Source organism: Homo sapiens, chromosome 14 (assembly GCF_000001405.40).
Source record: "Homo sapiens chromosome 14, GRCh38.p14 Primary Assembly".
NCBI classification, from domain to species: domain Eukaryota; kingdom Metazoa; phylum Chordata; class Mammalia; order Primates; family Hominidae; genus Homo; species Homo sapiens.
In genome coordinates, this window is record NC_000014.9 from 59,185,352 (window position 1) to 59,197,686 (window position 12,335).

The window sequence follows — 12,335 nt, forward strand, 5'->3', positions numbered from 1 at the left end:
TTACTGAGGACAGCAGGGGATCCTGAGGAAGAACATATAGATCTGAGAACAAGTCAAGGACTGGCACTGTTCAACCCTGAATTTCTCATTTTAGTCTTCAAAGTACATTTTGCCTACTTACCAATTAGAGTGAGATAATATGTGCATGCTATATTCTTTCTAATAGTCTCTGTTAAGAATAAGAATTTTTAATTTAAATGGGTTTTTATTACCTTGTTCCATAATTAGGCCTGACATTTCTGAGATAATCTTTTGGGAAAAATTGCAAATGATATCAAGAACTAACATTTGTATAGTGCTTTTCAGTTTGAAAAATATTTTTACATGCTTCATTTAATTTAATCCTCAAAAACCTCATGAAATATATATTATTATTAACCCTATTTTATAAATAAGGAAACTGAGGCTCAGAGAGAATAAATAACACAAATATGCAAAGTAACATGGATCACAAATAATGGAATGGCACAATCCCAAACCTGGGCTTAGCATACAACCTTGATTGTTGCAAAACACCAAGCTATTGCATGAAAGTACACGCAAGGCTACACACTTTCATTTCTTTCTCTCTGTTGATAACTCATTTCCTCCTTTATCTAAAATCCAGTATCTAGAGTAAAACCTTATAACCAGCACTGAGAGAGGTGATTTTAAAAGATCATCAAAATGCTTCGTGGTGCCTTCTCCTCATCCCCTACCTGTATAGACTGTCAAATCTGTTCTTAGTGGTCTCACAGGTTCCTAATTAATAGGCCACGATTATGGGATGAGGCAGGGCTTTTCATAAGGTCTTCAGAACAGCAGCAGTTATGTAAAATGAAAAGATAGAAAGTAAAGAAACCCATTTTGACTGAGAATATCAATTAGCTAGACAGAGTGGGTGTTTTTGATGATTTATGAGACTACTTGGCCACCTAGAAAAAATTAAATGCAAACATACACAATGATTGTGTATGAAAGTGAGTGAGAGAGAGTGTGTGTGTGAGTTTCCTTCTGTCTCCAAAGAAGTGGTTAAGCCTCCTCTGCTGCTAGTTCTACAGACTGTATTTCTCATGTTAAAGAGCCATCTTTGTTTCCCTTGGTTACCAATGAAACTGTGCAGGGATCAGTTCAAATCCATCACCACTTGCAGATAATTTTTCCAAACACAATGCCCTCTTTCTACATCTATTATCTATATTTATAGCTATTAGATAGGAAGAGCAGTTCACATGTGCATTTCTCCACATTTATGTGCTTACAGTCTATTGTGTATGCTGTCCTTTATATGGAGATGACTATGTCACATGGCACATCCCTATAATATTGTTAAAGAGAATGGAATTTTTGTTTTCAGACAGACTGCATCTTCTCCTTCATTACTGAAGAGCCAAGAGAACTTGTTGTAAGGTGATTTCTCCATTAAAATTACTCCTCAGAGTGTGCCTCAGTAACATACTTTTATCTACAAGGATAAGCCCTGTCTTAACAGAAAGGCTCCACATTCAATTTATTGACTCAATAAATTTCAGGCTCACTGATTATGTTTCAGTCTAAAAGCTTTACACAGTTATAAAATTAGAAGAGCCTTTAGAATCATCCCAGGTCAAGTTTCTCTCTGAATATTTTTCCACCATGAACTGCGTTACATTAAGTCTACCCATTAGTTAGAATATCAGTGATTATATCCTTGATCTGATGGCCAGGGGAAAATTTATATTGTCAGAGTTCATTTTAGATAATATTTGAAATGGAAGAAGTAGCTGAGGACAGAAGAGCAACATTCAAAGCTATCTTCTTTCGGGGGAGAAAAGTGGGTCTTGTCTATAAAGAACAGGCTTGTTAAAAGAACATCAGAATTCATCGCTAAACATCTCTCTGAGCAAAACAAAGCATTTCCTCTCCCCTGAGATCCTCAACTAATTTCATAAATATTTTTTCACTTGAACCCAACTTAGTGTTGCAGAATGAAAGGAGAAAATAAATGATAAGAGTTCCACCAACACTTCAGTAGGGAGTTGTCTGAAATCTTAATTGTGAACCTTTTTTTCACAAGATGCACAGTCTTCTAGAGATTTTGCTAGTGGAACGGGTGTGTGAGCTGATCATTATATGGAATTGAGACACATCAAATGCCATTAAAATTTACATTTACAACTCGAGTAACTAAATGCATTGATTCTTTTCATATTAAAAGACACTTGGTATTCACTGAATAATGAAAAATGCCACGGAAAAAATTATGTATTAACAATACAACCTGCCTAAAGGGTCAGAATTCTGCTACACACCTTTTGCTTACCTTTAAATAAATATTTAGGTGTGTTAAGAGCAGGGCAATTCTTGAACGGCACGATGTTGTTTGGTTTAATGTCTTTATAAAAATATTTGAAAAGGTATGGAAAATGAGGTGAGAGTGTTGTGGATTTAAAAACATGTGTATACATAGATACACAATTATTAAAACTTTAGACAAGGACGTTTTCTTCCTGGGAGTGGAGAGCCACCAGCGCGGGAAGTCTGCTGCAGGGATGAACAAAAGCATGGCTGCACGATAGTATTATCTTTGCAGCAGCAGCAGGCGCCCTGACGGAGGGTTGCGGCGACTGTCTAGTCTATCACACCGCACTTCTGGTAGTGACAACCTCCGTTATTCTGTCAGCTCAGCCGACTAAGTGGTTCCCCGCGTTCTGCCTGGTCACCTTGTCTCCGTTAAACGGGAAGCAGAAAAGAGAAAGGTGAATTGAGGGGGTACAAGGAGATTCCTCCGCCTTGGGACCGGCGTCGCCCCATCCTCTGGAAGTGTTGAGCGGGGAGAATTCGAGGACCGTATTTAACCCAGAAAACAGTAAGCCCTCTGAATTAGCTGCTACGCCTGGGGAAGGCAGAAAAGTCTTAATCGTCCCTTCCCAGCAGGGACCAAGAAAGACCAGTTAGAGCGAGCCTGGCCGGACCACGCGAGCCCCGGACCTCTCCGATCCTTCAGAGCCCGCGCCGGGCAAAGTAGAGGTCAAGTCAACACACACGACCGCAGGGCAGCCCTCCCACTCTCCCGTGCGGTCCGCAGCTCGGCTTCGGAACGACCACCGCTAACACTGCAAGGCTGTAAGGCTGGGAGGGGGCGGGTCCTGAAGGGGGCGGGAATAAGAGGCGGGGCAGAAGGGCGGAGGAGTGTGTCGGGAGATGTAGTTCCGCGAGTCCCGACAGCAAAGCTGTCCCGGCTCCGCTAATAGATTGGGACCACTACTCCCAGGAGTCTGCGCGCCCGACCGGAGCGTCCATGCGCAGTGGGAGCCACTTTGTATCCTATCAGGCGAGGAGAGGGTGATGTCACCTGCGAGTTAGTAACCTACGAGCGGCTGTGAAGGAAACTGTTTAACCGGATCCCATTGTACCCAGAGTGCAGAGCCGCCTTTCCAGCATGCAGGGGCTGCTCAGGTAAGGGGGACGCTCCTCCTTGCCCGCCGCACTCATTCATTAAGTGGCACTGCTCAGTGGTGCGGGGGTGGGCGTGCTTCCGTGGGCTGGGCGCTGGGTTCGCGGCGCGCCCTCCTGCTGCCTCCCCGGAGCTCCCGGGCCAGTAGGTAAATATTAAACCCGTCCTTCAGGTTGGGTCTGGGTGGGAACGGGACCGAGACAGCTCTCGGCTGCCTAGCTGGGGGTGGGAAAATGGCTGCAGCGCAACGCAAACCGAGGCAGCAGGGAGGAAGACGCCCCCAAGGACTGGGGTCCCTCCCTTTCTTTCTAAGGCGCCCGGCTGGCCGAGGAGCTGGCGGGGTAACACTCGCCGCCTTGCTGAAGGCTCCCCGGGGCTGGGGCCGCGGGTACTGCAGCGGCGTCCGCGAGCTCCCGGCCCGGCGGCTCCGAGAGGGAGAACCCCGAGGCAGGCTTGGTGGACACGGCGGTGGCGACAGGGAAGGAGGGACTCGTGTACCCGTTCGCGTCCGAGCAGAGCCCCCAGTGCCCCTGGCACCCTCACTTCCAGCCCCATTCGAAAGGGACGGAGCGCCTGTAATTCAGACTAAGTTGGACCTAAATGTTTCAAAACAGAGAGAAGGGAAATCGGGCGTTGCGGAGGGAGAGCAGGGTGTTGGCGGCCGGGGAGGCTGCGCCGCCTGCGGACCCGGTTGTGAGGCACCGCAGAGGGCTTTTGCCGCCCGTCCCTCTCGGGAGGGCGCATCTCAGTCTCCACGGTCCCTTGGTGTAGAGCACCTGGGCTGGGGCGAAGCGCCTGCCCTGAAGCCCTGGGCCAGGAGGTGGTAGCGCGGGGGTGGAGGTGTCGGATAATCTAATGATTAGGCTCGCTGTGGGGCAGGAGGGCTGGATAATCGGGTTTACCCAGCTGGTTCTGAAAGCCAACTGCTTGTGATCGGCTTGCCCTCTGAGTGGAGACGTGCAGGAGGCCCAGAGCTCTCAGTCCTCTGGATGTTCTTTGCCTTTCCTAGTACCTTCATTTGTTCGTTTACTCATTCATCAAACCCTGCTAAGGTCTCAAGTTGTTCACGGCCTGGCTTTGCGGAGCTACCTCTCGCCCCATAACATATTTAGTGATGCCTGAACTCCATTCCCCTCTCCTTCATCTCCACTTTCTGGAGAGCATCAAGAGCAAATGCCACCGTGACCGTTTTGCTGGTAGTTTCTTGAGATTCGAGCAGGACCCAGTGAATCGAAGCGGAGTTGCCTGCAAGATGAATCCCGTTGCCATGGCGACTCCTGCCTTCGGAATCTTAGCCGCTGCCACTGCTGTTTCGATTCGATGTGGCTCTGCGGGCAGCTGGGAGGGAGTGGCTAGTGGGTGTGGTCAAACGCTCGCCCTGGCCCAGCTGCTCTCTCCTCCTCGCCCCTTTCACAGCCCCGGGACTCTCCCCTTTCTCTCCTAAATAGCTTGGACACAGTTCTAAACCCCTTTCCCTTCCCCGTGCCACACCTCATCACGCCACCTCTCTCCCTGAAACTAATTGTTTGGCGCCTTTTTCCTGAGGCAAACTCTGAAAATTATAATTTGAAAAATCTCTTCCCCCTTTCGGGCTAGCCGCATCATTTCCCCAATAAGGTAGTTTATGGTGTTGGAGGCAGCTTTGTCATGAAAGGCGCCCTCCCCTGTTGTGCATAAAGAGAGCTCTCTGGTCACCAGCAAAGGCCCTCAATTTGCTCTAGGTGCAGCTGATTGGAAGTGATTAGGGACAATTAATAACGGCTGGAAGACACTGCAGTCCCTTGTGGTTCTCATAAAATCTAAAGCCAGGCTAGAGGGCGCAGGTCCTTGAGGGTGAAGCATGCAGGGCCATAACCAGGAGCCTTGGGTCCTACTCTGGCTCTGTCAGTCACTGGCTACTCCACGTTGGGATTAACCCTTTACCTCTGGGAACCTCAGTCTTCTCTTTGGTAATGTGAGGAAAGGGTAGAGAGGGTTTCCTAACGTTAATTCTAGGCGCAATGGCCTATGATTCCAAGATAGACTTGGTCATTGTCCTTTTTCGTCCCCGACCCCAAAGTAATCTGAAGTTAAGGGTTTAAACTTGGCTTCTGATACTGTGCCGTCAGGTTATATGGACAAGGCAGCTATGTGACTATTTATAATACTGTTTATACTACCACTACTATTATTCCAGTATCTGGACCCTTCTAATTATACTTTAGTATTATAACTAATTGTTTAGGTTTTGCCTTTTTATAGATTCCTAATGAATGCAGTTATTTGTAATTGCATTAAGTGTAATTGACATATAAATATTTTGTTTCCCCTCTGCTTGCATTTTATACCAATGTGCATTATCACAGATGTTGCAATTATGGGGGAAAGTGTGTATATGAGAGTGTCTGTGCATGTGTATCCATAGTCAGGTAAATGCTTGGGATTGCTGTGTGCTTGGTGGTTGACACTTACGATCTTATTTTAAGTAGGTAGCTACATCCCCATGAGGAAACAGGATCAGAAGTTGTCACTTTTTTCCTGGAACTTACCATTAAATGAAAATTTCCTTCATTCTTCTGCTTGTCTACCCTACTAGATTATAAGCTCCTTGAGGGCAGTGTCTTTGTTTTGTCCTTTTCTGTCCCCCCAGCATTTAGAGCAGTTTGTTCATTTGTAGGTCTTTAATAAATATATGTTAAACGAATATTAAGTAGCAGAACTATGATTGGAGATCCAAGGTCTATTATTTCCACTGATAGTTCTGTCATCCGTGGTAATATTCCCCTTAGCTTTTCTATCAAGCAGTTTCATTTCATCATAAACCAAAACTTGTCTGGCATAAAAGGCCTTCTATGTATTTGAAATAGACATATTTCCTAATTATTTGCTTTTAGAATACATTCACTCACATCGACTGTTTCTTTGTAGTTACAATTTCTTATTACCCCTGAACCAGGCATTTCTAGATTTCTCTCAGTTGCACTATCCTTGGCCCAGATAATCTTCCCAGGAGGTGTGTGACACGTGAATAGGGAGAGACACCAAGAGAAAGATACCCAGAAGCCTTTGCCAGGCCACCAGTGTCTCCCAGAAGAGCTGGGAGACAATAGTCCTCTCACCTGAGGCAGAGCCGTTCCGTAAACAGGATCAGTTGTTTCAGGCTGGTTGATGTGAAAGAAATGTGAAAGAACATTTGCCCAATATTTGTAACATGTTACCATCCAGTAGTCTGATTCTGTGGGTTTTCAGGAGCATAAATTAGTAAATTAGTGAGGAGGTGTGATAATGAAGAGGGTGTGGTGGGTCACATCCTTGGGTGGTGCTTACAGGAGCTCCATGAATAGGTGCTAAGGAATTTGAATCCTGGCTTTCTTGTTTTGTGGACATGTTCTGCTTGTTAAGGGGTGTGTGTGTGTGTGTGTGTGTGTGTGTGTGTGTGTGTGTGTGTGGTTTTGAGCTACTTTGTTTAAAAGGCTGCTTTTAGTGTTGGCACTATGGTCCTTAAAACAAATAAGGTGTTTACAAGCAAAAGTTCTGATTGAAAGTGTTTCATTTTGTAAATATTTGGGAGATGGCATAAAGAGAAACTTGAGGTCTTGTGTGAAAACACTTTAAAGTTGCAGCTGTTGGACCAGAGGAAACATGCTTTTCCAACAAAGCTTGGTATCCTTGAGTGCCCTAGGTGTTTGGTTCAGGAAATAATCACAGAGCTTGTAACTGCTGTGGGGCCCTCCCTGGCTTCAAGCCGTGCTCTGGTATTTCCAGTGTTAAGTCTATCCTTATATTGCCGGAAACAAAGCAAGGTGTCCAACTTGGGTTAGCAAACTTGTTTTCTCTCTAGAGGGGACACCAGTCAAAATAGAAGTTCTATATTCTGTTGTGATTTTTTCCTCTTTGGATGAGGAATATGGTGACTTATTTTGGTATTACAATTTCTAACTTGGTAATAGAGGTAATATTCTAAGTGAATACCAATCTTAAGTACGCACAGCATCTGTTGTAGTGGTTTCAAGACCTCAAAGTTTAGGCCGGGCGCGGTGGCTCAAGCCTGTAATCCCAGCACTTTGGGAGGCCAAGTCGGGAGGATCATGAGGTCAGGACATCGAGACCATCCTGGCTAACACGGGGAAACCCCGTCTCTACTAAAAATACAAAAAATTAGCCGGGTGTGGTGGCGGGTGCCTGTAGTCCCAGTTACTCAGGAGGCTGAGGCAGGAGAATGTCCTGAACCAGGGAGGCGGAGCTTGCAGTGAACGGAGATTGCGCCACTGAACTCCAGCCTGGACTACAGAGCGAGACTCCGTCTCAAAACAACAACAACAACAACAACAACAAAACCCTCAAAGTTTAGAGGAAATTGATTGCACAGGTACTATTTAAGAAACTGGTACTGAGAGCATTTTCTCTATTTCTGTATGTGGCTTGGAGGTAATGTCTGGTTGACAGATCAGGCTAGGGTGGATGATACCCCTCTTGAAGATGCATTCACTTAGCAAGTGTACTGTCTTTTATGTAGATTATATTATTTAGAGTGGCTGAGGCTGCTGATAGAGACCAGCGTTGAAGTGTGGATCTGAAGTTCACCCCCTTTCTCTGAGCTGTCACCTTGTTTGTAGCCCCACTGAAACAGGGACAGACGAACATGAGATTCAAGTTGATTTTAGTGACCTATATTTCATCCAGCAGATTTTTTTTTTCAGAAATAAAAGGTTACCTTTTAATTTTTTAGTATCCTTTCCACTGTTCTAGGAGCAGGGGGAGAACAGAGCATTTCAGGGAGAGTTTGCATTCATAGTCCACAAGTTTGCATACATAGAACATGTGTCTAAAAATGAACTGAATGTTAAGTCCTAGAAGCACAGCAACAAGTGTGCAGAGCCTTCCCCATCACTCCCAATTAATCTGGGGTTACCAAATACACCCTCAGCTTTGGTGAGCTTGTTTTCCTCATTGATGTTTAAGCGTTCCTGGTTTTTACTCTGTCTGTGACTTTCTGCAGTAATGGCTGTCCACGTCTGGAATGTGCTTCCCTCTGAGTGTCTGGATTATCTTGTGCTTTCATATCTAGCTCAGGTGCCACAGCTTCCACGAAGCCTTCCCTGCCCTTCCTCCTTAAAGCACTTAGCTTGACCACACAACACTTACAGCTAATTTGATACCGATATTGTATGTGAGGTGCCTACCTCATGCCAAGCCCTTTCTAATACTTTCCATGGGCTACGTCATTGACTGCACATAATTATACAAGATAGATACTTTTATTGCCATGTTCTAGATGAGGAAACTGAGGCACAGAGAAGTTAAAGAACTTGCCTAGCTTAGGCCACACAGCCTGTAAGTGGCAGACCAGGTTAGGGACTCAAGCAGTCTAGTTCTTTATACATCCTGATGTTGCCTGGTTTCTGACTTTCCGGCACGTTATTCTTTTCTCTGCAACTCGAGTTGGGGTAATCACAGCTTCCTTTGAGTCTCTTAATTCTCAGACAGTGCTGGGTCAGTAAGTCCTGGATTAATTGAGAGTAAAATGACTTCTTCATGTCACAGGTTCTTACAGCCTGATTTTCTGGAACAGAAAATGTTGTGTGAGATTAAAAATGTTGTTTTTGAGTATTTAAATGATAAAACTTTGGAGCTCTCCTTTGCTGTATGAACGATAGACAAATTATTTGAAAAAGGAAATGCTCTTATATTACAACTCTAAATCTGTTTGGAGCCTGTCCAGCATTAGACCTTATTTGTTAAGTGAGGTAACTTTTCACTGGGTTGAATCCCTCATCTGATAAAAGATCTTCTCACCCTGAACAGGGCCACAGAAGCCTGTGTTGAGAGTTAAGAGGGCCCATAATTTCTCAGCCTCCCTCTTCCCTGTAGTCTTTTAACATACATTGTGAAAGCTCTTTTGAAAAGAAAATAATGAACACTTGAGCAGTAGTCAAACATGTAATCTAATATTGGATAGCCTTAGATATTAAAATAAACTTTTTCCCCCCACCTCAGAAGAGATACTTTTATTTATTTTTACAGTGGAGCAAATTTGGTGCCAAATAAACAATTTCTATTCTTTTAAACCATAGCCACAGTTGTGAATTAAATGGGGAAAACCAGGGAAGCAAGTTCAATTTCCAATGCAGTTGGTGCGATTTCGTGACTTACAATAGATCTTTTCCTTTTGGCTTAAAACTAGATATTGTGCCACTTAGACAATATTTAATGAAGACAATTGACTAAAACACAAGGAAATAATAGGAAAGCTATGCCTTAACGGCATATTGCCAGGAAGGGAAACATGAAAACAAAAGGCTTGTTAGCCATTAGGCTACACAATCATAAAATTTTTTGAACAGACATTGATTTCAGAAGGTTTTTCTTTTTTCTTAATCATTCATCTTGTTATACTTTTTTTTTTTTTTTTTTTTTTGAGACAATCTTGCTCTGTCGCCCAGGCTGGAGTGCAGTGGTGCGATCTCAGCTCACTGCAAGCTCCGCCTCCCAGGTTCACGCCATTCTCCTGCCTCAGCCTCCTGAGTAGCTGGGACTACAGGTGTCCACCACCACGCCCAGCTAATTTTTTGTATTTTTAGTAGAGATGGGGTTTCACCGTGTTAGCCAGGATGGTCTCAATCTCCTGATCTCGTGATCCGCCTGCCTCGGCCTCCCAAAGAGCTGGGATTACAGGCGTGAGCCACCGCGCCTGGCCTCATCTTGTTATACTTTTTAAGTATGTCATTCACCTTTAGTAATAACCTGGGTTTATTCTGTTCTATAAATTACACCAGGATTGGGGTTTTAAGGCTACCTGTATTTCTGCTGGCACACAATTAAGGTCACCTATTAAACTGGTCTTTGTCATTTTTATGTCTAAAAAAAATACCTGCAGTGTGATTGGAAAATGTTGCCTATCTGATAGACTTCCTGAATTTAGGCTTACAAGAGTAGATAGCCCAGATCCTAGCTTTGGGCATTGTTGGGGTAATACAGATGCCCATCTTTTATTTTCTGAGATAGGTTCTTATATTCTGGCTTGTTGGCTAGCTCAGTTTGTTAGTGACATACAAACCAGGTCAAGGGCATGGGTTAGCTTTGCCTTGTTTTGGAGCCACAAACTGTACCTGTAATTCTAGTCAGATTTTTTCTGTATCTTTTTTTTTTTTAAATTAATCATGCTTTTGGGGACTAGACTGTACATTGTGGACATATCAGTGCACAGCTATCACTACTAAGGGCAAAAAAAGGTGCCATATTTTAAAGCGAACTGGTAGGAAAACCCTGTAAGTGAGAGGCAAGACTGCCAGCAGCTTGCTAAGGAACCGTATGCTTCTGACAGTTGTCCTCCTGTGAAGATTAGGTCAGGACTAGGGGCAGCTTCTTGAAAGTTTGCCAAAGCCAATAGCCTTGATCTTTTTCCTTTCTTGGCAGAATGACAGATGCCATCAATGTGTGTTTGGGTGCTACTTCTGGACTTACTCTTAGATAAAGTTCTGGATATTTGTGCCCAAGAAGAAGAGTAAAGGATGGTGGTCAACATTATTCACCAGATGAGATAGATTGTTCATATGTGCCTAAGCTTAAATTTGTATTAGTTTCATAGAGATTTGGTAAAACCAAGCAGGGAAATGTTTAGACACAAGTTAGAACCCGCAGTTCTGTAACAAGAGGTTTAGACCAGGGACCCTTCTAAATCCCCAGAATGTACTACAAAATTAATTGTAAGAAATGGGCCGGGTGCGGTGGCTCACGCCTGTAATCCCAGCACTTTGGGAGGACGAGGCGGGCATATCACAAGGTCAGGAAGTCGAGACCATTCTGGCTAACACGGTGAAACCCCATCTCTACTAAAATTACAAAAAATTAGCCGGGCGTGGTGGCGGGCGCCTGTAGTCCCAGCTACTCCGGAGGCTGAGGCAGGAGAATGGCGTGAACCCGGGAGGCGGAGCTTGCAGTGAGCTGAGATCCTGCCACTGCACTCCAGCCTGGGTGACAGAGCGAGATTCTGTCTCAAAAAACAAAACAAAACAAAACAAAAAAACAAAACCCACAAAAAAACTAATTGTAAGAAATTAAAGGAAATGAAACAGCTTAAACTGAAGAAACTTGCTGCATTCTCTATTCTTGAAAGTTGGTGAAATTGTGAATATGGAAAATGTCATACATTTCTGTTCAAGGCAACCCATTTGGAATTCTTTTTTCTTTTTTGAGACGGAGTCTCGCTCTGTCGCCCAGGCTGGAGTGCAGTGGCGCGATCTCGGCTCACTGCAAGCTCCGCCTTCCAGGTTCCCGCCATTCTCCTGCCTCGGCCTCCCGGGTAGCTGGGACTACAGGCGCCTGCCACCACGCCTGGCTAGTTTTTTGTATTTTTAGTAGAGACGGGGTTTCACCGTGTTAGCCTGGATGGTCTCGATCTCCTGACCTCGTGATCCGCCCGACTCAGCCTCCCAAAGTGCTGGGATTACAGGCGTGAGCCACCGCGGGAATTATTTTTTCAAATGCAACTACAGTTAACTCATTATTAGTGGCTGCTATTTGATTTAGGCTGATGGTGGAAAAGAAACAACAATACCATTTCTGTTTGGTTTCCCCATCCTGTTTGTGTGGCAGTCATTTCTGCGTTAGAGGTACTTTGTTCAGCACTGTTGGTAATGTGAACTAAAAGTTGGAGGACATGCAATAAATAAATGCTGGAATTGAAGCCAATGGCTGAGACTGACCGCACCATGTTCTCAGAAGGTTAAATGAACAGGCCTGCTATTATATTTTCGTCTTTTAAAAATCAAGAATAGAGATTAAACTGGAAATACTCTGACCCATTTAGGGCTTGAGATTCTGTGAGTAGGTAACACTTCCAACTATGGAAGTTCTAGGAACTGTGGCAGGAAACTGCCTTGCCTATGATATTTTCTGCTAAGGGCTGGTTAAAATGTTTTTAAAAATGTATATAGTTTTA

At 44.4% G+C, this 12,335-nt stretch overlaps 1 protein-coding gene across 4 annotated transcripts in view, besides 7 other annotated features; it reads left to right on the forward strand.

Annotated features, from left to right (window-relative positions):
- Positions 2,819-3,058: an enhancer, noted in NCBI's record as "active region_8456". NCBI's record gives its function as "activates an Ori minimal core promoter by ATAC-STARR-seq in GM12878 lymphoblastoid cells {active_cell/tissue: GM12878}" and the evidence as "EXISTENCE:reporter gene assay evidence [ECO:0000049][PMID:35858748]".
- DAAM1 (dishevelled associated activator of morphogenesis 1) overlaps positions 3,316-12,335 on the forward strand; it is a 182,739-nt gene continuing 173,719 nt past the window's right edge. For 2 of the 4 annotated variants that reach the window (XM_005267431.2, XM_047431135.1), the window contains exon 1: positions 3,316-3,563. The gene's annotated coding sequence lies outside the window, so the exon portion shown is untranslated. The remainder of the gene's footprint in view (positions 3,564-12,335) is intronic. The other 2 variants (XM_005267430.3, NM_001270520.2) reach the window with 1 other exon arrangement.
- Positions 3,529-3,668: a silencer, noted in NCBI's record as "silent region_5803". NCBI's record gives its function as "represses an Ori minimal core promoter by ATAC-STARR-seq in GM12878 lymphoblastoid cells {active_cell/tissue: GM12878}" and the evidence as "EXISTENCE:reporter gene assay evidence [ECO:0000049][PMID:35858748]".
- Positions 3,729-3,948: a silencer, noted in NCBI's record as "silent region_5804". NCBI's record gives its function as "represses an Ori minimal core promoter by ATAC-STARR-seq in GM12878 lymphoblastoid cells {active_cell/tissue: GM12878}" and the evidence as "EXISTENCE:reporter gene assay evidence [ECO:0000049][PMID:35858748]".
- Positions 3,729-4,598: a biological region, named in NCBI's record as "NANOG-H3K4me1 hESC enhancer GRCh37_chr14:59655908-59656667".
- Positions 3,839-4,598: an enhancer, noted in NCBI's record as "NANOG-H3K4me1 hESC enhancer chr14:59655908-59656667 (GRCh37/hg19 assembly coordinates)". NCBI's record gives its function as "activates a minimal SCP1, AML or CMV promoter by ChIP-STARR-seq in naive H9 embryonic stem cells {active_cell/tissue: H9 hESC(naive)}" and the evidence as "EXISTENCE:reporter gene assay evidence [ECO:0000049][PMID:30033119]".
- Positions 4,309-4,468: an enhancer, noted in NCBI's record as "active region_8457". NCBI's record gives its function as "activates an Ori minimal core promoter by ATAC-STARR-seq in GM12878 lymphoblastoid cells {active_cell/tissue: GM12878}" and the evidence as "EXISTENCE:reporter gene assay evidence [ECO:0000049][PMID:35858748]".
- Positions 4,899-4,948: an enhancer, noted in NCBI's record as "active region_8458". NCBI's record gives its function as "activates an Ori minimal core promoter by ATAC-STARR-seq in GM12878 lymphoblastoid cells {active_cell/tissue: GM12878}" and the evidence as "EXISTENCE:reporter gene assay evidence [ECO:0000049][PMID:35858748]".